The 26,009-nt window shown below is 36.2% G+C and overlaps 1 protein-coding gene across 13 annotated transcripts in view; it reads right to left on the bottom strand.

Moving 5' to 3' along the window:
- XRCC4 (X-ray repair cross complementing 4) overlaps positions 1-26,009 on the bottom strand; it is a 296,927-nt gene that overhangs the window by 268,403 nt on the left and 2,515 nt on the right. For 11 of the 13 annotated variants that reach the window (XM_047417695.1, XM_017009827.3, NM_001318012.3 and 8 more), the window contains exon 2: positions 1,013-1,161. In XM_047417695.1, coding sequence (XP_047273651.1) covers positions 1,013-1,151 — 139 coding nt within the window. In that variant the 5' untranslated portion in view covers positions 1,152-1,161. Of the gene's footprint in view, positions 1-1,012; positions 1,162-9,807; positions 9,921-26,009 lie in introns of those variants that run through there. The other 2 variants (XM_011543626.2, XM_047417694.1) reach the window with 1 other exon arrangement.

The raw sequence follows: 26,009 nt of genomic DNA, 5'->3' as shown, positions 1-26,009 counted from the left end.
AAAATTCTTTATTTTACAGGAATCCCTACATCAACATTACCTGTTCTGTGTCAAAAAAGACAATTTTTTTGAAACTCTGTAAGTATAAATTCAATTTGACTGTGTTGTATAACATAATTCATAACGCTCAAGAAAGAAACAAAATTTTACAATGTATTGTAATTTTAAAGACGATATAATAATCATGGTAACAAATTCTAGAGAAATATTTCTAAAGTTAATAGAAGATATAAATAGTATGTAAATTAACATGTAAAAATTATCTTACAGAAAACATTATTCACAACATAACTCTAGAAAAGACTTTTGCATAATTATAAAAATAGTTCTTTAAATCTTTCAATAAGATACTTTAGAAGAGTATTAAAACTTCGTATATAAGGAAAATATAAGGCTACATATTTTTACTTTATATCCACCATGTTCCATACATGATTTGAGGGTCATTAGCATTTTTAAAATATTATTACCAAAGAGTTAAAAAAATCTATTTCCTAAAATCACAGCCAAGATCCTAAATGTGGGTGTGAACCTTGCATTACAAATTTTTAGACTCTGGTCCTGTTTTGTTACAAATGTAATATATGTTCACTGGGGAAAATAAATAAATAAATAACCCACCACTACCCCATTGCCCCAAGGCAACACACATACCCATTTACCTAACCAATCTCCTTCCTCTGCCCCAGACTTCTTCCCTGGGGTCCTGAGAAAAGATGTATTTAGAAAGTACTATTTATATTTTCTATAAAGAGGTCATTTTAAACCTCTGAACAAATCCAAGTTACTAAGATTCAAATGGTAACCGGAATTTTCTAGGACACGTTTGTTTTTCTATTACTATTAAATATAGAAAGTGGCATTAAATATTACAAACCTGTGTATAAATTTGACAGCAATAGCAAGTAAAATTAATATCAGTTTTACCCAATATCTAATGGAAAAGTATCCCTGAGGACTGAAGAATAGCACACTTAAATTTTACTTATAAAAACTTTGTTTTTAGTATTACCTGTCCCAGTCCATGCTGAATGACCATCAGTAAGTGTAATAACAAAACCAGATTCCAGTGTTTTCTCCCAAGATACTTGTAGAAAATGAGTTATACTGGGTTCAGAAACAAGGTGGATTCTGCTTATTTTTCTCTCCATTTCTTAATACCTGTAATGGGAGAATACAATTAATATTTTTAAAAGAAACTGTAACTCAAATAATGTTTTCTGTACTGGCCTCTCAGCTACACAAACACCAAGGAAATAAGAAAATAAGCAAAACAAAAAAACTGTATAATAGGTTCAACCATTAGATTCAACCATTAAATTCAGTAAATAATACATTCAGTAAATTCACAGTTTTCTTCAATATTAATTCACAATTTTTACAGATGAGAAAAGCAGAGGCCCATAAATGGAAAATGATTTGTCCAAGTAATGAAGATAAAAATTATCATCTCAGCTGGGCGCGGTGTCTCACACCGGTAATCCCAGCACTTTGGGAGGCCAAGACGGGCAGATTGCCTGAGGTCAGGAGTTCAAGACCAGTCTGGCCAACATGGTGAAACCCCGTCTCTACTAAAAAAAAACAAAAAATTATCATCTCAACAATATGCTGAGTAAATTTTACCACTTCTTTTCCCCCAGATTCAATAGGCTTTTTTTCTACCACAAAAGAAATGGTTGCAAGAACTTGTGAGAATGACCTGGAACTGATCTCACTACTGAAATATTACAGTAATTAGAAAGGATAAAATTGACCAAGTATCTTAGTCTCTGTCTGGAGACACTGTCTGGAATGAAAAAGTTGAGTAAGTATAATTCAATGGGGGAAAAAAAATCTCACAACCCAACAGCTGATAGTATCCAGTCATGCCTTGTCTAAGGCAGAGATGACCAGGCTCAGTGACTGAAACACCCTATCCACTGAGACAGGGGCACTCTGTAATAGAGATAAGTTGCATCAGATTATCACAGCCTGAGGCCAATAAATGTTTCTGCATTCTTTAAGTTTTGTATTTAAGTATTATATATAGACAGAAAAGTACATACATCAAAAGTACAAAAGTACAACTCAATGAATTTTACAGTTGAACAAATCCATGTAAGTAGTACCTAGATCAAGAAGCAGAACATTGCTACCCAAAATTCATTCTCACACTCCCTCCAATCTAGCCACTGGCCTCTCCAAATAACCACTATCTTATCTTCTAACAGAGATGAGGGCTTTGAATATTTCTCTACTTTATGTAAATATAATCATACAGCATGTTCTATTTTGTGTCTGGCTTCTTTTGCTCAACATTATGTTTGAAAGATTCATCCACACTATGTGTTAAAGTGATAGATGATTTTCAGGGCAGTATAGTAGTCTATTATATGAGTATAAGACAGGTTATTTATCCATTCCACTAGTGGTAGGCATCTGGGTACTTTCTAGATTTTGACTATTACAAATACTGCTGGCAGAAACACTCTAGCAAATACATATGCATTTCTGTTGAGTATATACCTAAGAGTAAAATTGTTGGATCAGAGGATATGGATATATTCAATTTTGGTGCTACACAGCAAATATTTTTCTAAAAGCGTTGTACCAGTTTACAATTGATAGTATGAGAATTCTGATTACTGCACATTCTTGCAAACATTTTCCATGGTTTTCATGTTAGCCAATTTTTTACTTCATACAATAAAGAAGAAAATAAAATTAGGGGTACACAATGTAATACTGAAAGTTAGAGTTAGAAGGGAGTCAGATCTAAGATCACCATCATCCATTTGTTAAGTACTTTGCAACTGCACAAGAACTTCATTACTTGAACAAACAGACAACCACATAATATAAAAATTCTAAAAACCTAATCTTGCCCTTCCCAAAACAATGATTATCTGAACATTTCCCTCTGTCTTTATCCACAGACACGCATGTTTAAATAAACCTTATAAACAGCTTTTTTCATGGTGGCACAGAGTTTTACACCTAGCATTCTTAGTGACTAAATAATAATCCATTAAGTACTATAATTAATGGAAATATGTTGACATATATATATATATATATATATCAGCTCTATCTTTACTGGAACCCTATGAATATAGCAACTAACAGGATCCTCATTGTATGAATAAAAAACAGAGGTAAAGTTTAATACCCAAGATCACACACTAAGTGGTGGTGCAAGGACTCAAATCCACCACCTGCTCTTCTTACCACAGCACTTTGCTTGTCAGTAGGAATGTGAAAGTCTAGTAGATCTGATGTTAAGAAAAACCAGACTTCTAAAGTTACCAGATAAAGAAACAGGGTTGGACCATGAAAGAGGTATGCTTAGGGAGCTTCTGCCATGTGACAGCATTGCCAGATAAGGAGCTGTTGTTTTAAGACTACTCTAAAACAAAACTAAGACTTTTATTTCCAGTCTCCCATCAAATGGTAGTTAACCAAGCTTATATTCTGCAATCATATGAGATGTGTGGGAAACAAAACAGCCAGTTCTGATTCTGGAACAAGTTACAAGAAAAAAGTTTCCAACTCTGATCTCCTATGCCCTATTGCTGACTTCTGGATATGTCTGCTGAGGATTTGAAAAGTCTATGCCTGTCCCAAAGAAGGCTTTCCACAAATACTTGTCCTTGGATTTATTTAAAATTATTTCAGATCTGTCACCCTTGAATTCTACCCATTTTTCCTAGTAATACCAGTAGGGTCCATACAGATTAAGTATAAATCCTCTTACACACGACAGGCCTCTTCTTAAGACTATATGCTTGCAGTCAAAACAGTTCTTATAAGATGATTTCTGATACCCTCACTAGTTTGATTAATCTCCACAAAATTCTCTACAGTTAATCTCTGCCACTCAAAGCATAGTTCACTGAGTCCCAACTGGTAGTCTAGTTGTATTATAAACAATTAAAAAATAGACAAAGACTATTACTTCATCCTAAATACTGCACTTCTATAATTTCAAGGAAATATCACATTCAGTTTTAATTATTGTTTTTAGTGATAGTGAGAGTGATAGGGGTTGTGTTGAGGGTATTTTGTTATGTTTTTGGCAGCTACATCATTCTAAAAATTCCTATTTGAGTTTAATATCAACTAAACCTTGTTTAGTTGTTTTTCTATGTATGTTATTACTAAGTCACTTTTACTCTATCCTTTGTTTGTAATTTTTGTTGATGTTGTCTGATGTGTTTGCTGAGGTTCAATTTTATGTTTTATATTGGCTTGTTAAGGTTACGTTGAATAGTGATTCTGTTCCTGTGACCCAACATGTTTATTATCTCTCTGACCTTGTCATCTAGAAATCTGATAAACTTCTTCTTCTAAGTATTCAAGTCATGCACATAAAATGTTGAGCAGGACAAGCTCAGGCATAGACCTGTATAGTCTGCCATTAGAAACACCCTCAAGTAGACATCAATCATCAACACTATGTGGGAACACCACTTATATTTCCAAGTCACAAGAATGTAAGAAGAATCCTTGGCAAAATCTATCCACTCTACCAGCCTATCAACACTATTTAAAAGAACAACAACAAAAAAAAAAGAAATTAAAACTGTTAATTAGTGATCCTACTCTTATTTGTAACAATGATAGGTTCTTTTTCTTTTAATCCAAAAGCAATTCTTCTGGTAAATCACTCTAGAATCTTGCCCAGATTGACTTCAAATTTATCAGACTGTAAAATGACACATATTACTTAGTTCAAGCAAATACCTATATTTGTTCTAATACTGTAACGCCTGATACTGTAAAATTGATTTTGTGAGCTTCATTAAAAGATGCTTATACCGTAGAAGCTAATAAACAAAACTAGAGAAATAACATAAAAATTATAAATATGCAAAGAGAAAACATTATAAAAAGTCAGAATCAGGAACAAAGCACAAACTTCCAACATGAAAACATTACAACTATTATTTAATCACATAGCATGAATCTCTCATTAGATGATCCTTTAAAAAAACATTATAAAGTAATCCTTATAGCCCCATCAATTAGGCATGTAAAATTTTTAAATATATTTAAGTTTGTAGGTTTGATACGATAATCACAGAAAAAATAATTTTTAAATATTCCATTTAGTCAAAATTTTCTCCTACAATAAGGTCCTTTGCCTAGATGTGCTTAATTCTGAAATGCTTTATCCATTTGTGAATATTTTCTTTTAGATCAATTAGTCAATACATTTAATGTGCAGTAAATTACTCACATGCTCTGTAATCCTTAAATTTGAAAATTACTGGAAAATCTGTTACTGTTTTTCTATGCCAATCATTGAAAAAGACATATAGTTCAAGGCTTACATAATTCTAATTGGCTCAAAACCCACAATTTTGGGGGTGGGGTGCATGGGAGGGTGTAGGAACTACTTGTGGCATAGCATTTTTTGCCTCTATAGTATTTCCATACAAACATACACAGATGCACACATACTTATACAGATTATTTTGTCTTAAACTTACCTTAAGAACCATGGCTATTGTTACCATTAATATAATTTTGTGAAAGGAAAATACAGCACTTATAATTACTGTGAAATAGCAATTGGTTTCATTGCTTTTTTTTAAAGCCATATTTGAACCAAGTGACAAATTTCTAATTACAGAGAAAATTTTGTTTAAAATTCAATATTCCAGATGCCTTTCAGTAACTCCTTCTACTTTCACAATAATATAAAGGGCTTTAATCTCAATGATGTTAAAAAGACATCTGGGGATCAGTTTTAAGAACATCTTTGAATTATTCATGTTTCAAATATTTTCCAATTTTCTAATTCTAGGTACTCATGACAAAAATTATATGATTTTATTTTAAAGATTCTATTATTTAGTAAACTCACATTTGAACCTTTGGAGACTACCTGTGAACCACATTTAAGCAATTAACATTAATAGCCCATAAGTGACAACATAGTATCCTACAAGTAACTTGTTTGTGCCTCAGCAGTCTCAGAAATGTTCTTTATATCAAATAAGTCTTAATTTCCTAATACCATACTATTTGAATGAGGTTTGAAAGCACTTCATTCTTTTACTTACTGAGATCACCGTCTTACAAAATATCAAATACAAAACATCTAGTAAGAATCACCCATGGAAACAGAAAAAAAGATGACTTGGAATGTCTTTTAAGATTCAGTAAGAGCAAATGAACGATCTCTTTGCTTTCACCAGCCCTGTAAATGGGAATAGTCAGCCATAGTTTTTTGCCCCAAGACTACTTGAAGAAACGGGGTGGAATCCTCTTCAGAGGGACTGATTGATTAGGGCTATAAGAAAGCCTGTGTTTTGTTTTCCAAGGGCACTAAAGGTCACATTAGTATCAGCACCTCTCCCAGCCAGAGCCAAGGATCTAAGACAAGCCTGCAGGTGGAAACAGTTGGGTCCCACCCCAATTTGTACATCAGTAGCTTTATTGAGAGTTCAGAACAATTGAGAATTGAGAAGCTTATCTTTAGTACTTTGTGTCTTTGATACTTGGCCTCTCTCTTAGAAGAGAAATAAGTTGTTGGCTGGTATGCAATTGATGTGATCTAAGGTCTGAACAAATACCATTCACAGTTGCTTCTGAATAAACAAGACACTTTTTAAATTAGTTTACAAAGAATTTTGTATGCCCTTTTGGATGCTGATAAGGAGCAGTGCAGAAGCCAACTCTCTCTTTTAGGTCAGCTCAAGTTAGTTACAACACTATATCATTGATAACACCATTTTGAACTTGAGCTTCTTTTATTTTCCTTTATAGTAAATTATGACTTCTTTTTAAGCTGCTTGGGCTGCAGGTGTTCAAACTTCTGCAGCTCTGCCAAAGAGTTGTACTTACAGATCAGAAAGTGCTAAATGCATGTTTCTAATGAAGCAATTAACTTAAGTGCCCCCTTGTTGAGAAAAGTAGGCTGATACCTAAAGTGAGTTCAGAATAAAGATTAGCACACAGCATATGCTGTTAATAGTCTGTAATTAGTTTCCTGGTTACATTATTTTGTTTGACCTTATTATTTTTATTCTTAAAAGAGAAAATTTAAATTGCAAACCAAAAGTGTGGTCACAGATTGTTTTAAAGTCTTATCACATTATAAAAATTCAAAGACAGGAACATATATAATTGCTAGAAAAAAGGAAAGAAAGGTTTATGAAACTACACTAGGCTATTCACTTCTGAGACAATCACACAACAATTTAGGAAAACTAAGTGCAAAGAAAAGGATTATTTCTTGTTTAGTATTTTTTAAAAGCACTGACTATTTGCATTTTCCTTTTTTATCAGAATACCCACTCCCCACATTAAAGATTTTTTTTACTGAATAATTTATTGCTAGTATTTTCATTATTAATAGCCTGCCAACTTGCTGGTTAGTGTTACCAAAGGGTAAATTAAGATTTTTTTTTTTGAAAAAACTACCACAAAGTCAGTTTGCCTTTAAATTTCCAAAGCAATTAAAACAAAAATACCCAGCAACACTTCTACATAAAAAGTGCTTTCCTAAAATAATATTTTTGAGTTAGATTTTTTTCTAAACATTAAGTGTAAAGAATTCACAGGATTACTAAATACCCTTCTAATCATGTGAGAATTAACTCCATTTTAATAATTTTGAAAGTAAGGTAACCACCTGTCCAGGTATTCCTGGAATTTTCCTAATTTTCAAACAAAGTCCCAAGACCTAGAAAATCTCTCAATTCCAGGCAAACCACAATGTTTAGTCACCATAAGGTAGTAAAATACAGTTATAACTGCTAACATAATCTTATTCAAAAACTTGTAATATACAGCTGATGTATAAGGGAGACATTAAATTAATCTGATGCTTTAGGAACAGAGCATTAGTACTATAAAATAAGTCTAGAAAAATAAGGCCTCTTGGTTGAGGTCACAGTCCATTCTTAATTACCTCTCATGACTGTGGAATGCCAGTTGCTGCCATTCCAAATATCATATTACTTCTCATTTCCTCTGCTTATCTTTTACAAATACCATTAATAATCATTAGTTTCAGTGATAAACATAAATTTCACTTCCTCTCCTTTCCTACTCTAACACTATAAGTGGGTATTAAAAAGCAATAAAATGACCTAATGCATGAACAAATTTCCCACATACTATTTAATACCTAGCTCCAAAGTGCTCTTAAAATTGGACCCTAAGTTCCAAGACTATAACTTCCTTCATATTCATTGAGCGGCCACTCTTGATTACAAATAAACTTGGCAGAAAGGATGAGAGTACACTTATCATTTTGGAAACTTTCTAGACTGTCACAAGAACACTTTAGTTCTAATTGCAGTTTCACGTGAGAATGACACTTAACAGAACTGAAGAGAAGAGATAAGATAGTACCTGAAACAGCATTAACTAAGCAGCAGTCTTTTTCAACAAGAACTCAGTAATTATGATTTCTTAAGCCTCAAAATTTTTGACACCTCTCTTATTTCAATTCCAAAAGAGTGAGGGTGTTCCTATGAAACATCACCAATTAAGCTTATATACAGTCTTTTCTACTTAAAAAAAAAAAGTGTTTTTCAGAACTGAAATGTAACTAAAAGCACTTGTGTGAAAAAGGAATAAGACTTATAAACAATGTACTTTTTTCCCCCCACTCACAAACCCATCATTTACTTAAAACCGCACCCATTTATCTGCCTATTTCTTAATGGCAAACAAGATGACAAGTGATAGGACTGAGCAACTTAGTCTGAGGAAAAAAAAAAAAACAAAACCTATAACATATCCTCAAATTCAGCAATACAAAACTATTTAGGAACTATATAAAATTACCAACATTTCACAATTTTTAACCTATAAAAATGACAATTTCATACAGTTCAAATAATAGTAACAGTTATAAATAGCACATAAGCACTTTCATTCCTAATTGGATGAGTAATTACATATTTATTTCCCACGCTTCAATTTCTCAGTCTGTCATTTTTGACCACATCTCTGAATACATTTTGGACAACTCCAGCAGGAGGAAGTTCCAAAGTATAAGCAAGACTCTGTTCTGAGTATAACCCTTGGGTTATACATTCTCAAAATGGACTAAAATTTATACCTAAAATTTAAGTCAAGCTCTATTTTCTCTTGTAAGGGTACAAGTTCTAATATATCCAGGGGCCATGCAGATCAGGAGTGAGGTCATATGCATCCATTGCATGACGAGTGGGACTGTGGGAAACTAGAAACTACAAGTACCATATAAAGGTGGTAGCCATTACTCACTGCAAAGCAGATTGTTATGGGTAAGTATTGGTCCTTAGTGTTCTGTCATTCAGATTATTCAAGAAACTGACAAATGCCAATTTTTATGTAGAAGTCAACTGGCTTTGAAATGTTGGCTCATATTGTTTTTCAAAACACTGGGTATAAAGTTTCCAAAATTATATGTGTACACCTACAATAAGAATTCTGCAGCCATCCACAAACAAAAATCTTGTTGTAGGAGTCTTGGGATTCAGGTAGGAGGCTGTAAAACCCAAGTGGAGCCCAAGACTTAGGAAGGCCATTTTGAGGGTACAAACTTGCACCTGGACACACAGATTGGGCTCCTGGGTTCAAACACAGAAATAATCCTGTTCCCCAAACGGCTTGGCTTCAGCCCCCTTTGGCTTTTGCAACCAAAACCACCTGCCAAGGGGTCCTGGAGGAATTACACACCCAAGTGCCCCACAAAGGCCGGTCAGCCCACCAACATCAGTCTTGGCAGTGGACCCAAAAGTTACCCTATAATTCAGCTCCAGCCCCCCTCATCTGTGGTTCCCGCTTATCACTGGTCACACAAAAACCCAGAGAAACACTTACCCATCTGAGCCACTGGGATGGGATTGCCACCCTCTATCCCACAGCAGATCCCAAGGGGGACCTTTCTTGGCTACAGCACTTCTGTCCGGCAGCCCTGGAAATATCCTGCCCATGTAGAGAACTGCTGGGAGACTCATATATCTGAGTCACCAAGGCAGGCTTGGTGACTCAGCCTCCATCCCACAGTAGATCCTGACAGGGCTCAGTCTCAGCTCCAACCCCTCCCTGCCACAGTAAGGGAACTATCCCACCTATGCAAAGAACTTCTGGGATTCGTGTAAGTCTGAACCACTGCAACGGGTGTGTCTGCCTCCATCCCACAGCAGATCCTGGAAGGGCTCAGTCTCAGCTCCAATCCTCTTGCTGGGAACTATCTTGCCTGGACAGGGAACTGCTGAAAGAAGCATCCATCTTAATAATACCGGAATAGGCTTGCCAGCTCCTGTCCCACAGCAGACTGTGAAGGGGCCCAGTCTCTGCTCCAGCCCCTCTCACTGCAATTTAAGAACTATCCTGCAAGTACAAAGATCTGCTAGGAGATTCATGATCTGTGCACTGGGACAGACTTGTTAGCCTCCAATCCACAGCAGATCCTGAAGGGCCTCTGCTTAGCTACAGCCTCTCTCTGCTGCAGTCCAGGAGTAATCCTGTCTAGGTAGAGAACTACCAGAAGACTAGCCAGTCTGAGCAACTGGGACAGGCTTGCCAGCCTCCACCATCCCACAACAGATCCTCAGCAGATTTTGACAACAGGCAGGCACTTGTTCTGACATAGGAGGGAGTTTAACCAGAGTGGTCCCTAGCCTCAAAGCCTACTTTCCTACCCCACTGATCATTTCTAATAAGCATTTCTATTGAACATAAAAATTGGTCCATCCACCCCAATCCACTTAACCTCAAGGACCCTCCTGCAACCCTGTCCAACTGCTGAACTCAAATAAAGGAATACACCCTGTGGCCAAGGCTGATCAGAGGAAATTTCTGTGTCCATTCAGCAGCTCGGCCTGATTGCAGAGCTCAGACGGTGGTCCTGTCAGATAAGAGAACCTATGTAGCTACCCCAAAAAAATTCAGAGCAAAGGTAGCAGGCCAGCTTTCTACAGAACCTAAAAGCAAGCTGTGTCTGCTAAGGGTTATTACTAGCTGGCCCCTCCAGAAGTATAGGCTAGAATAAATAGTAAAGTTCTATCCCTGCCAACGAACACCTGTAAAAGCTGGAAAAGGTGGTTGTCTCCACAAATGTGCAAACACCAACACAAGGACACAGGATTACAAAGACTCAGGAAATCATGACACCTCCAAAAGAAATGAATAAAACTCCAACAATGAATCCCAAAGAAAATGGAATCCATAAAATGGTAAAAAAAAAAAAAAAAAAAGATTTCAGAATAATCCTTATTAAAAAGTTAAATGGGCAGCACATGGTGGCTCACACCTGTAGTTCCAGCAACTCAGGAGGCTGAAGCAGGAGGATCCCTTGTGCCCAGGAATTCAAAGCTATGGTGAACTATGATTTTGTCACTGCACTCCAGTCTCCAGCCTGGGAGACAGAGTGAAACCTCAACTCTTTTGGGAAAAAAAAAAAGTTAACCACAAGAATATATAAATAGAAAATTAAATTTTGAAAATACATGAACAAAATGAAAAGTTTGACAAAGAAATAGAAACAATTAAAAAATGAATATCCAGGAGATGAAGAATACAACGACTAAACTGAAAAATGAAATAGGAAGCTTGAACAGCTGCCTTGAGGAAGCTGAAGAAAGAATCAGTGAGCTTCTAGATGGACATTTGAAATCAGTCAGAGGAGCAAAGAAAAAAAGAAAAAGAGGAAAGGAAAGAAGAGGGGAGGAGAGGGGAGAGGAGAAGAGGGGAGAGGAGGGGAAGAGAGGGGAGGGGAAAGGAGGGGAAGAGAGGGGAGCGGAGGGAAGGGGAGGAGAGGGGAGGGGAGGGAAGGGGAGGGAACGGGAAAGGAGGGGAGGGGAGCCTATGGGGATTATGGAGCACCATCAAGAGACCTAACCTATACATAATAGGAATTAAGAAGTAGAAAAACAAAGTAGGTAGATGCATATTTAAAGAAATAACAAATGAAAAGTTCCCTAATCAGAAGGAAGCCAACATCCAGGTACATGAAGAAAGGAGATCTCCAACCAAATTCAAACCAAAGAGGAGTTGACGATAACATGTAATTATCAAACTATCAAAAATTAAAGAGAAAGAAAAAATTCTGAAAACAGCAAAAGATAATAAAGAAATCACACATAAAAGGGTTCCAATAAAAATAACAATAAACTTCTTAGCAGAAACCCCAGACCAGGAGAGAGTGGGCTGATATATTCAAACTGCTCGGGGGATGGGGCGTAAAAAAATGCTGCCAACCAAGAAGACTTTACCCAGCAAAGATGTCTTTCAAAAATAAGAAGGAAATAAAAACTTTCCCAGACAAGCAAAACTTTTACAACATCCCATAAATTTTGGCATACCGTGTTTTCATTTTTGTTTGTCTAAAGATATTTTTTAATTTCCCTTTTAATTCCTCAATTGACCTATTGGTTGTTCAGGAGCATGTTGTTAATTTCAGTATACTTCTGAATTTTCTGAAATTCTTCCCGTAATTGATTTCTAGTTTCATACAATTGTGGTCAGAAAAGATATGTGATATGATTTCAGTCTTCTTCAACTTCCTAAGATGTGCTTTGTGAACTAACATACAATCTATCCCAGAAATGATCTGTGTACATTTGAGAAGATTGTGTATCCTGTTGGTGTTAAGATGGAATACTCTGTATATGTCTGTTACGGTTCATTTCATTTAAAGTGTTGCTTAAGTCTAACATTGCCTTATTAATTTTCTGACATTATCTGTCCATTATTGAAAGTGGTGCATTGAAGTTCTCTACTGTTATTGTATTACAGTCTATCTCTGTACACCCTTTAATGTTTGCTTTATATATTTAGGTGCTCCATTGCTGGGTACATATGTATTTATAATTGTTATAGCCTCTTGGCAAACTGACTACTTTATCATTATATAATGCCTTCATTTTCTTCTTTTTACAGCTTTTGACTTAAAGTATTTTCTGCTGTAAGTATTGCTACTTCTGCTGATTTTTGGTTACCATTTGTGTAGAATATCTTTTTCCATTTCTTCACTTTCAGTCTATATGTGTCCTCAAAAGTGCAGTGAGTTCCTTGTAGGTAGCATGTAGTTAGGTCTTGTGTGTGTGTGTGTGTGTGTGTGTGTGTCCATTCATTTACTCCTTGTCTTTTATAGGAGAATATAATCCGTTTACACTCAATATAATTGTTGATAAGTAAGGAAAGGACTAACTTTCTCGCCATTTTGTTAATTATTTTCTATCATTGGGTCTTTTTTTCTTGAAGATATTTTGTTTCCTTCTTCATCTCTTGCAATTTTCCTTTGTGGTTTGATAGTTTCCTGTGTGGTATGTCTTGAATCTTTTGAATCTAATTTTATTTTTTGTGAATCTCCTACAGATTTTTGCTTTTTGGCTACCATGAGGCTTACAAAGAATATCTTACACTTCTGTCTATTTTAACCTGATAGCAGCTTAACATTGATTAAATACAACTCAACACCTTTACCCAGCCATCTTATGTTTCTAATGTCTAAATTACATCATATTATAATATATATATCCCTTGAAAGTTTATTGTAGCTGTGGTTGCAATTAATAATTTTGTCCTTTAACCCTGTACTAAGAATAAAATTACTCTACACACCACCATTACCATCCTAAAAATATTCTGAATGTTGATCAGTATTACTTATACCACTAGGTTCTGTGCTTTCATAACTTTTTTGTTATTTGACATTAAAATGGATTTGACATTAAAAGCATAGGAAACAAAAGCAAAGATAGACAAATGAGATTACATCAAACTAGAAAGCTTCTGCACATCAAAGGAAACAATTAGCAGAGTAAAAAGACAACCTACAGAATTAAGAAAATATCTGCAGTCCATATATTTGGTAAAGGGCTAATATCCAAAGTATAAGAGGAAATCAAACAGCTCTATAGAAACAAAACAGATAATCCAATAAAAACGTGAGCTATTGACCTGAATAGGTATTTGTCAAAAGAATACATCTGAATAACTGATAGATACTTGAAAAAACGCTCACCATCACTAATCATTAGGGAGATAGAAATTAAAATCACAATTAGATATCACCTCCTATCTGTGAGAATGGCCACTATCAACAAAAACAACAAACACTTGCAAGAAGGTGGAGAAAAAGGGAACCTTTGTATCCTGTTGGTAGGAACATAAATTAGCATAACCATTACGGGAAACAGTATGGAGGATCCTCAAAAAACTAAAAATAGAATTACTATATGATCCAGCAATCCCACTTCTGAGTATTTACCTGAAAGTTTTAAAATCAGAATGTGGAAGAGACATCTGTAGTCTCATATTCACTGCAGCACTAGACAATAGCCAAATAATGGAATAAACCTAAATGTCTATCAGAGGATAAATGAATACCAAAAAATTCATCTACACACAATGGAACACTATTCAGGCTTTAAAAAATAAAAATAACTTTGTAATTTGTGACATCACAGACGGAATTGGAGGACATTACCCTAAGTGAAATAGGCAAGGCACAGAAAGACAAATGCCACAGTTCTCACTTATATGTATAATCTAAATTAATTGAACTCACAGAAGCAGAGAGTAGAATGGTGGTTACCAGAGGCTGGGTGGTAGGGAGGATGGGCAGTTGATATGGTTTGGCTGTGTCCCCACCCAAATCTCATCTCGAATTGTAATCCCCAGATGTTGACCTAGGACCTGGTGGGAGGTGATTGGATCACAGGGACGACTTCCCCCATGCTGTTCTCATAATAGTGGAGTGAGTTATCACAAGAGCTGATGGTTTTAATAGTTTGGCAGTTCCCATTTCACTCTTCTCTCTCACCTGCCACCATGTAAGATATGCCTGCCTGCTTTTCCTTCTGCCATGATTGTAAGTTTCCTGAGGCCTCCACAGCCATGCAGAACTGTGGGTCAATTAAACCTCTTTTCCTTATAATTTACCTAGTCTTAGGCAGTTCCTCATAGCAGTGTGAAAACAGGCTAACACAACAGTCAAAAGAGTATAAAGCCTCAGTTATATATGAGAAATAAGTCTGACTTTTCTATTTTAGATCAATTGTACAGCATGCTGAACATAGCTAACAATTGAGTACTGTACATTTCAATATTGCCACAAATAAACAATGTTAAATACTTCAGGGGATAGATATGTTAATTAGCTTAATTTAACCATTCTGCATTGCATTCAAAATCATAATATCACTTTGTACCCCATAAATATAAACAACCATAACATAATATATAATATAAATAAAATTTAACAAACAAAAAATAATGAGTGTGTGTGATATTATAAGAAATATGTTTGAACTTTGTCCCCTGCTCCTCGCACAGAGTTGGCAAAACCCTTGAAATTTCCTGAGTGATAGGAATGTTTTTGTTACTCATAAGGAACAGCTTTCAATTACACCTGAGTTTATAATAATGAAGTGACTTACAGTGGGGCCTCTAGACAGCCTCAGGATGGAGCTGGTCACCAGAAACACCAAGTGATTAGTAGGCTGGGATTTTCAGACCCTCCTCCCTACCCTCCATTCCTCCCATGCACCCAGACCAGGAGATTGAGCTCTATAAAAATTTGAATTGGGAGGTTTATAAGTCCATTTTCACACTGCTGATAGACATACCTGAGATTCAGTAATTTATATGGAAAAAAACAGTTTAATGGACTTACAGTTCCACATGGCTGAGGCGGTCTCATAATCATGGCAGAAGGCATGGAGGAGCAATTCATGTCTTACATGGATGGCAGCAGGCAATGAGACAGAGCTTGTGCAGGGAGCCCCCCCCAACCCCACCACCTTATAAAACCATCAGATCTCGTGAGATTTATTCACTATCATGAGAAAAGCATGAAAAAGAACTGCCCCCATGATTCAATTACCTCCCACTGGGTCTCTCCCACAACACGTGGGAATTCAAGATCAGATTTACATGGGGAAACAGCCAAACCATATCAGGAGGCTTAGGAAGGAGGATCACTTGAGCCCAGGCCTTTGACATTACAGTGAGCTATGATTGTGCTACCTGCACTCCAACCTGGGTGACAGAGTGAAACCCTGTCTCAAAAAAACAAAACTCTTGAACAAGGAGATGTGAACAGCTTCCTGCTTGGTGAACACATCATGGTGCTAAAAGGTGGCATGTCCACAGAAGGGCATTGAAGTCCTGTTCCCCTGCCACCATAACTTTCCCTATGTGTCCTCTCTCATTTGGCTGTTCCTAAGTTCTATCTTTTGTACTAAACCAGTAAAGGTAAATAAAATATTTTTCTGATTTCTGTGACCCATTATAGCAAATTATCAAACCTGAGGCAGAATTGCTTCTCTTGCACAAAGTAGTGTGGCTTCATTTGTTAATAAACATTTCATTAATTCTTTTGGGGAAGTGTTTGATTAAAAATAATTTTTTTTTCTAAGACATGTAACATTCCCAGCTTCTCCCTAATAAGAAAATTATTCGTGAGGCATAAATCAAGGGAAACCTTGATTTATAACTGGTTGGTCAAAAGTATAGGTGACTCAGGACTTGTGACTGGCATCTGAAGTGGAGGCAATTTTGTGAGACTGAGCCCACAAACCTGTGGGATCTGACACTAACCCTAGATAGATGGTGTTTGAATTGTACTGAATTGTTGAATACCCACTTGGTGTTAGAGAATTGGAGTTATGATTGGCCTCCAAGGATCCCAAGTCAATTATCTTATTCCCCCACTGGGGGAAAAAAAGAGGGTTTAATATAGGAAGGATATTGGGATAATCATGCTTAGCAGATTCTCTGCCAGTTCTTCTCCTGATGGAAAGGGCCTGGAGCTGAATTACATACACTGAATCACTCAGCAGAAAGCTCACCTAGTGGCTGATAGAAATGGAACTTTGATAGTTTCAGAATTCTAGTACTATTCTGTTAGATTCCCATGTGCTGGCCTCTCCAACATTTGAATGAAGCAAGCAACAAAATTAATCCAGATTAGAAGTCATTTGTTATCAAGGTATCACAATTTAGGAGGCTGTGCTTCTACAAGGGTAGTGTCTGATAGCACTTAGTTACCTGCAAAATTGGCAACCACCTCCAGCAGGCAGCAGTGAAACAAGGTCACACAGCTAAAAGAGTATCTTTAAATTACCTTATTGATCAGAAAGATTAATCAATTGGTGGCCTCTTTATGGCTACAACTTAATATCAATTTTGAAACAAAATCCTAAAAAGATTGTCAGACTTCTTCAAAGGATTCTGAAATAGCACTAAATCAAACATGTTCCTGCCTATAAAGTACAATGAAGTGAAAATGAAGTCAAATTATCAATAATCTTTAAACTTCAGAACAATCAAGAATGATTATCTTATTAGAAGGAAGTTGGAAATGTTATATGCATCAACAATCTTCAAACTACAGAACTATCATGAATAATTTTCTTATTAGGGAGAAGCTGGGAATGTTACATGTCTTAGAAAAAAAAATTTATTTTTAATCAAACACTTCCCCAAAAGAATTAATGAAATGTTTATTAACAAATGAAGCCACACTACTTTGTGCAAGAGAAGCAATTCTGCACAGCAAAATTTAAAATGCTGATCTGAAAAGCTATTCAGTCAAGTTAGTTTCATAGTCACTTAATATGTTTTAAAAATTTCCCATTAAGTTGAAATAACGAACTGAAATCAACCTGCAGAACGTCAGTTGTAAAAATTCCACTCCATCTACCAGTCATTCATTAAGGAAGCAGTATGTGCAAACTTTGTGTTCAATGAGAACTCTAGCAGATCAGAAAAAAAAAGTAATGACACTTTCTCTCCAGAAACTTTTCATCCACTTAGGAGAACATGACAATACAGAGTTCTATATAAATTATAATTAAACTTGTTAGTTATTTAAAAAATAAGTAAATATATACAAGGTAGTATAGAATTTTGCTACAGCAGAGTTAAAGTAGTAATAAAATAATGACAAGATACATCAAATACCTGCTAAATGACATAAAAAGATGCTGCATTTTCTAAGGTAAAAAAATTACAGGACCAATATAAACAAAAATAAGAGGTATAAGAGAAGGTTTGCCTGAGGAATCCAATGTTCAGAAAATGAAATACCAACAATCAACTAGTAGATTCACCAGTAGCAACGACAATACAATTCCAATGCCTTGAAAATTATTTTTCCTTAACAATTGAAATGTATATTATTAAATTCAATTCTGCCTGCATAAATATTCCACTTTGGCCAAGGTACAAGACTGCCCAGTGAAACATCAGAAATACAAAATATCCAGAAAAATGAGGTACATGCTTTTCATTTTAACAAGGCATGTAGCTCCAAACCAAATAAAGAAGAGACATACACCAAAAAAAGAGTAAATTACTAAATTTTCAAAGATAAGATTGTATTAATTTTTTTGTGTATTTTAGTATGACATCTTGCTTGCTGAAACAATGAACACGCTATGACCAGGAAAAAAAAAATTTTTTTTTTTTGACACAGGGTCTCACTCTGTCACCCAGACTGGAGTACAGTGGCACCATCTCGGCTCACTGCAACCTCTACCTCTCAGGCTCAAGTGATTCCCCTGCCTCAGCCTACTGAGTAGCTGGGATTACAGGCATGCACCACCACGCCTGGCTGATTTTTGTATTTTTAGTAGAGATGGGGTTTCACTATGTTGGCCATGCTGGTCTCAAACGCCTGACCTCAAATGATCTACCTGCCTCGGCCTCCCAAAGTGCTGGGATTACAAGTGTGAGCCACTGTGCTCAGCCAACCAGGACAAATTTTATAGGGCTGTTGTTATTTAGAAATGTCTTTTTATTTTTTATTTTTTTGGAGACAGGGTCTCACTCTGTTGCCCAGGCTGGAGTGCAGTGGCGCAATCTCAGCTCACTGCAACCTCTGCCTCCCAGGTTCAAGCAATTCTCATGTCTCAGCCTCCCGAGTAGCTGAGATTACAGGCATGCACCACCACTCCCGGCTAATTTTTGTATTTTTGGTAGAGATGGGGTTTCACCAGGTTGGCCAGGCTGGACTTGAAATTCTGACCTCTGGTGATCCACCTGCTTTGGCCTCCCAAAGTGCTGGAATTACAGGTGTGAGCCACCACTCCTGGCCTAGAAATGCCTGATTTTTTAATTAAACCTTGTTTAGAGGTTATATAAAACAGAGATATCTATTTAGCTGATGGCCAAAAAAATTCAACCAAATTAGAACATTCAAGAACATAAAGATCATGGTTAGGCATTTAGGTACGAACATTCAGTTCAGGTATGTCTGATTTAATATCTAAGGGATTTCTTTGACTCAGGACAAAATGAGAAAGAGAGAGAACCAGCCAATGTCTTAGAAAACTGTTTTTGAAAAAAAAAACTAGATAAAAACTGAGAAATTAAATTAAGGCACATACACAGTTGATCGCTGAACAACTGAAGGTTTGTTCTGTGTGGGTCCACTTACACTCTAAAGTTTCTCAATAAAAGTTACACCAACTGTGTCCACCTCTCCTGCCTCCTCTTCCACCTCCTCTACCTCTGCCACCTCTGCCACCTCTGCCAGCCCAGAGACAGCAAGATCAATCCTTCTCTTCCTCTTCCGCCCCAGCCAGCTCAACATGAAGACAAGAATGAAGACCTTTATGATGATCGACTTCCACTTAATGAATAGTAAATATATTTTCCTTTCATTATGATTTTCTTAATAACATTTACTTTTTTCTAGCTTACTTTATTGTAAGAATACAGTACATAATGCATATAACACACAAAACATATGTTAATCAACTGTTTATGTTATTGATGAGGCTTCTGGTCAACAATAAACTATTAGTAGTTAAGTTTTGAAGGAGCCAAAAGTTATACATGGATTTTCAACTGCGTGAGAGGTTGGCATCCCTAACCCCTATATTGTTCAAGGGTCAACTCTATAGCTAATTACAATGTACGCTACTATATGGACTTAATAAATCATTCATTTCTTCTAAGAACTCATACAATATTATGAACTGGTTAAATGATTAGATTACTATTTAAAAGCCACCTATCACTACCATTAGAAAGGAGAAGCAATGAGAAAACAAGTCCTGATACCCATGTTTTATGTTCTTAAGATTGTTTTAGGACTGTCGTTCAAAGAATTGCTAAGTTTAAACTTCTTCTAGAAGTCCGCAAAACAATGTAAGATTGTGTGGTTCTAATGACTTGATATAAAAGCTCAAATGTCTACTTTGCATCAAAAAGCTTTTTGTTAAAATACAGTGATATTCAGATGGGAATTAACAGTGGTGATCTATAATATGATTTTCTACTGAGACATGCTTGTCAGATAATGACAACAAGGTCATATTCCCTTATCACATCTAAAGTGCAAAAACTTCTATTTTCTATGTTGCCATTTAAGAAGTTATCAGAGTATAAACTTTTGTCTCCCCAAATTAATATCTAAGTCATCATGAGCCAATTTCTCCTTAAGAACAATGTTGAAAATGAAGGGTTAGTTCCTAAACACAACACTTGGCAAGTTTTTAAAATTCAATTTATAGATGAGTATCACAGCACAGCTAATTTACAAATTTATAAATAGCAATGATACTGTCATTTTATGTTAAACCCATACATGGAACTCTATTAGTATACTATATCATACAAGCATCTACCTAAAAATTACAAAAAAAATCATAAACATTTAAACTTTAACTTTTTAAGTGCCCCAACGTTTAGACAGATGTAATTTTATTTTCCCTGAGCAGCTGTTCATTTGGACATGTTCCGTATTTATTGATATACTGTGTCCAATGCTAGGGTCACATTTCTTAAACAGGAACTTGGCAACTTCCAAATTCTATGGTAAATATTGACATGTCTCAGCATGTCAATATTTATACTGTCAAGACTTTGACAGGTTTCAACAATGGCTGCATCTCATTTCTTAGCAGCCATGTGCTTCTGTTTCAAATGAGCAAGTTCCTTCTTTATCCAATAAAATTCTCATTCACTGCTCAGGTAAAATTAGAAGTAAGTTAATAGCATTCTCTCACACAAGACCAGATTGAACTCTTTGCTTACTTCAACATTTTAGTCACTTCTGTAGGATTAGCAAAGCTATGGAAATGAACACAAATTCAGGATACAATGTCCTCCAGGTAATATTTGTTTTTGATTACTTAATCTCAAGCCTAATTATCATTTGCAACGACATTACTAATGTGGAAGCCTTTTCAGAATCTATAGAGCTAATCGATTTCCTTTTTTGTTAGTCTTAAGGGCTAGGTGAAGATAAAACTGCTTTAGTTTATAGGCTGCGACAATAATGATAATATTCAGAAGGCAGTTTGAACTCAGGATGCCAATCATAAAGAGTAGTTGGGAAGTCTAGCTCATTATCTAGGATTAAACAAACAGTATTTTAAACGCAAAATTAGTTTACCTAATTTTGTGCTACGTGTCAGAGATACTGTTAACAAACTAATCATAATTAAATCAATCTTAAGAGCAAATTTCGGTACTGCTGAAAGAAAATCTTTGCAACATCTTTAAACACTCTGGGATTTCCCAATGGTACACAAGTTTAATGTAACATGAAGTTACTGGTAGTAATGGCATCTAGCAAAAACATAAATGCCTCATGAACAGTTTGGAATTTTGGCATGTATTTCTTCTTTGGCAAGTATTTCTTCTTTTTGGCAACACAAATCTCAAGAATGTTTTCCTCCCCAAAAGTGCCTAATTTCATCAACATTAAAAATTTGCTGTCTGCAATTGAACCCTGATCAATGATTTCAGCCAATGCCTTAGAAAAAGGCACAACTCACTTTCATCAGGGCTGGCAGCTTCCGCAATAACAAGGAGCAAATTGTCCAGGGCTATACAATGCATTAACTCCCTCCTACTTGTATCAAAAGGATACAGTACCTTTCAATTATTTTAAAGACAGCCATCTTTTTCCTAAGAAACAAGGTATAGCAAATAAGCCATTGATTTTACACTCAAAAGACCCAGGTTGGAATCAAAACTATGCTTCATAGCTGAGTGTCCTTGATCATGCCATTAATGCATTAAAACATTCACTGATTACTTCCTATGTACCAGGATTTGATATCCCAAAGATCAGTAAGACACATTCGCAACTCTCTACTGAAATAGAGACACCCAAACAGAATTATAATATAAGTTTGTAAAATGCAGAGGTAGGAAGGGAGCTCCTCTGAAAAGCAGCACTTACCCTGGCCTGACATTTTAGGGAAGGCTTCCTTGAGTTACATCTAATATTATACGAATCTTTAAAGAGAAATGGTCAGGTGAAAACAACTTAGGGGTAGAGGAAGAAAGATAAGGAAGGGCATTCCAAATAGAAGAGTCTGCATGAGTAAAAACTTGGAGGCAAGAAATAGCATGATACATGGAAGTGATAAATAATTCAGTGTTTCAGACTGCAAATCAAAAATTACAGGTTCATGGTCAAATGCGGTGGCTCATGCCTGTAATCCCAGCACCTTCATGCCTGTAATCCCAGCACTTTGGGAGGCTGAGGCGGGTGGATCACGAGGTCAGGAGTTCGAGACCAGTCTGGCCAACATGGTGAAACCCCGTCTGTACTAAAAATACAAAAAATTTGCTGGGCATGGTGGCATGCACCTGTAATCCCAGCTACTCAGGAGGCTGAGAAGAGAGAATTGCTGGAACCCAGGAGGCAGAGGTTGTAGTGAGTAGAGATTGTGCCACTGCACTCCAGCCTGGGAAACGGAGCAAGACTCCATCTCAAAAAAAAAAAAAAAAAAATTACAGATTCAAACACCCAATCAAGTCAGTCATTCATTCAAACAAAACCTACTGAGTACTTCTATGCCTCAGACAAATGCTTTAGAATGTGGCATAAGACAACAAAACAGATAAAAATGCCTGCCTTCATGGATTTTACATTTTAATAGGGGAACACAATTAAAAATACATGTAACAAATATGTAATACATATATAGAATAATGATAAGCGCTGAAGTAAAAAGAGGAGATAAAACAGGGTGGAGGAGATAGGGGTAGGGGCTATGGAAGTTGCAAAGCTTCAATTTAAATAGGGAGGTTGGGATATGCTTTACTGCAAAGGTGACATTTGAACAACATGTAAAAGCTATGAAGGAATAGCTGTATGGATCCAAAAGCATTCTAGAAAGAAGCAGCAGTCAGTGCAAAGGCCCTGTGGTAGAAGTAGGCCTAGTGTACTTAAGAAACAGGGTGGTAAGTATGGCTGGAACAAAGGGAGAGAGAATACAAAGACATGTAGTCAGAGAGGTAATGGGAGACCAGATCATGTAGAGCAGAGGTGTCCAATCTTTTGACTTCCTTAGGCCACACTGGAGGAAGAATTGTCTTGGGCCACACATAAAATACACTAACACTAATGATACCTAAAGGGCTCAAAAAAAAAAAAATCTCATAATGTTTTAAGAAAGTTTACAAATTTGTGGTGGGCCGCATTCAAAGCCATCATAGGCCACAGGCAGCCTGTGAGCTGTAAGTTGGACAAGACTGATGTAGACTATTGTAGGCCAACGTAAGGCTGTTAGCTTCTACTATGAATCAAATGATTCACGAAAGGTTTTTAAGCAAAAAAGTAATGTTTTATTCTTCTGTATATTATTTTGAAATAATTCTGAATTTACAGAAGGGTTACAAAGATAATAGAAAGTTCTCATATACCCCTCACCCAATTTCTTCTAATATTAACATCTTATACTACCACGGTGCATTTATCAAAACCAGGAAACCAACACTGATACATTTCTATCAACTAAACCATAGACTTTATTTGGATTTCACCAGTTTTTCCATTAATAACCTCTTTCTGTTTCAGGATCCAATCTAGCATAACATATTGCATTTAGAATCTTACATGTAAATACACAATTTTTTATTTATATTTTAAAAGTATCACTCTGGCTGACATATGAGAATAGACTGTAGGGAGGCAAGGACTGAAAAAAGCAGAGAGAACAGAACACAATTACTATAATCCAGGCAAGAAATGATAGTGGGTAATAACAAAAATCTGAGCAAGAGATGATCAGTATACTAATAGCAGAAATAGTAGAAAACTGTTGAATTCTAGATATATTTCATAGAAAAAGCCAACAGATTTGTTGGAATACAAGAGAAAGGAAGGAGTCAAGGATGACTCCAAAGATTTAACTGAGCAACTGGCTGTATAAAGTTGCCATCAATTCAGATGAGAAAGAATGGGAAAGGTTTGGGAGGAAAGGAGTTCGGTCTGGGACATCTGAGTTCAAGATATCTTTTAAATATACCAATGAAGATGCAGAGGTAGAAAAAGAGGAATTGGAACATGGAGCATAGAAAACTCTTTAGAGGATTTTTGTTGCAGAGAAGAGCAAACAAATGGGGTTGAAAATGGAGAAAGGTTAAGAGAAACATTTCTTAAGGTAAAAGAAATAAGACATACATTAAATAGAAGTGTCTTTTTTGGTGAAACTTCTTTTTTTAAAAAATGTTAATGTGTATATTTGAGGTTTACAAGTTGACATTATAGGATACACACAGATAGTAAAATGGTTATTTTAGTCAAGGAGATTAACACCTATCATCTATCTTATTTTTTGTGTGTGACAAGGGCAGCTGAAACTCTACTTATTTAACAAAAATCCCTAACAGAATAAAACTGTATTAACTTTGGTCCTCAAGTACATTTCAGTCTGAATTGAAAAGCCATGTGGGAAGGGAATAAAAACAAGGGGGGAGAAAAAAAGGACAAACACTGGAACATGAAAAACCTCTACCTGAGGTTAGGGAGGCTAGCTGAGGATAAGAGGAAAAAAGCAGAACAATTGTCTTTCAATATATGTGAATAACAGTGAATGAAAAAAGGTAGGTAATGTAAAAGGTAATGTAAATCAACCCTATCATTAACACTAGCAACAAAGTAAAAAGAGAAAATGGGGAGAAAGTGGTCTGGTGATACAAATGCAATACCAACTTAATACTAAAACCTTTTATAGCAGTCCTCTCCTTATCCAAGGGTGTATATCCCAAGGCCCCGTGAGGAGGCTGAATCCAACTGCCTTCAATCTGAGCATGCTTCTGTTCACATTTTCTAACCACAAATTTAATTCCTTTTTTATCTTAACTAAGCTTTTATAATGCACTATGGCTATAAGTTTGGCAGTTTGAGGTGTGACAGTAAAACTAGCATAAATTTCTTTTTGCTTATTCACAATTTTACAGATAGATTTGTTCTTACCATAGTTCTTAACAACATCAACATAGGATTTCTTTTCTTCCTTATTAAGTGGAGAACTTTCCTTTTTTTGCTTAAAAGAGGCACTTTACAGCTACTCTTTGGCATAACCAAATTGCCAGCGTCGTTACTCTTGTGCTTTGAAGCAATAATTAAGTAAAATAAGTATTCCTAGAACACACGCACTGTGATACCACCTCCATCAATCTGATAACCAAGCAACTAAAAGGCAGGAAGCTTATACAGCAGGGATACGCTAAACAAGGAGATGATTCATGGCCCCGGGCTGAATGGGATAGGATGGAATAAGATTTCATCACAACTCAGAAAGGCATGCTATTTAAAATGTATGCATTATTTCTGGAATTTTTTTTTTTTTTTTTGAGATGGAGTCTCGCTCTGTTGCCCACGCAGGAGTACAGTGGCACAATCTCGGCTCACTGCAGCCTCCACCTCCCGGGTTCAATTGATTCTCCTGCCTCAGCCTCCTGACTAGCTGGGACTACAGGCACATGCCACCACGCCTGGCTAATTTTTGTATATTAGTAGAGATGGGGTTTCACCATGTTGGCCAGGCTGGTCTCAAACTCCTGACCTCAAGTGATCTGCCCGCCTTGGTCTCCCAAAGTGCTGGAATTACAGGCATGAGCCACCGCACCCGGCTGGAATTTTCTACTTAATATTTTCAGACTGTGGTTGATCATGGGTAACTGAAACTGCAGAAATCAAAACCTCAGATAAGGAGGGACTACTGTATTTAGTGCCTAATATATGCAATTCAACCATTCCTCCATTATAATTCCTCCTCTCCAGGGACTTTTAATTTAGCAAAGACAAAGCCATGCAC

This window comes from Homo sapiens, chromosome 5, assembly GCF_000001405.40.
Source record: "Homo sapiens chromosome 5, GRCh38.p14 Primary Assembly".
Taxonomy (NCBI): domain Eukaryota; kingdom Metazoa; phylum Chordata; class Mammalia; order Primates; family Hominidae; genus Homo; species Homo sapiens.
The sequence above is the reverse complement of the archived record's forward strand: the minus strand, read 5'-3'. Positions and strand labels throughout refer to the sequence as shown.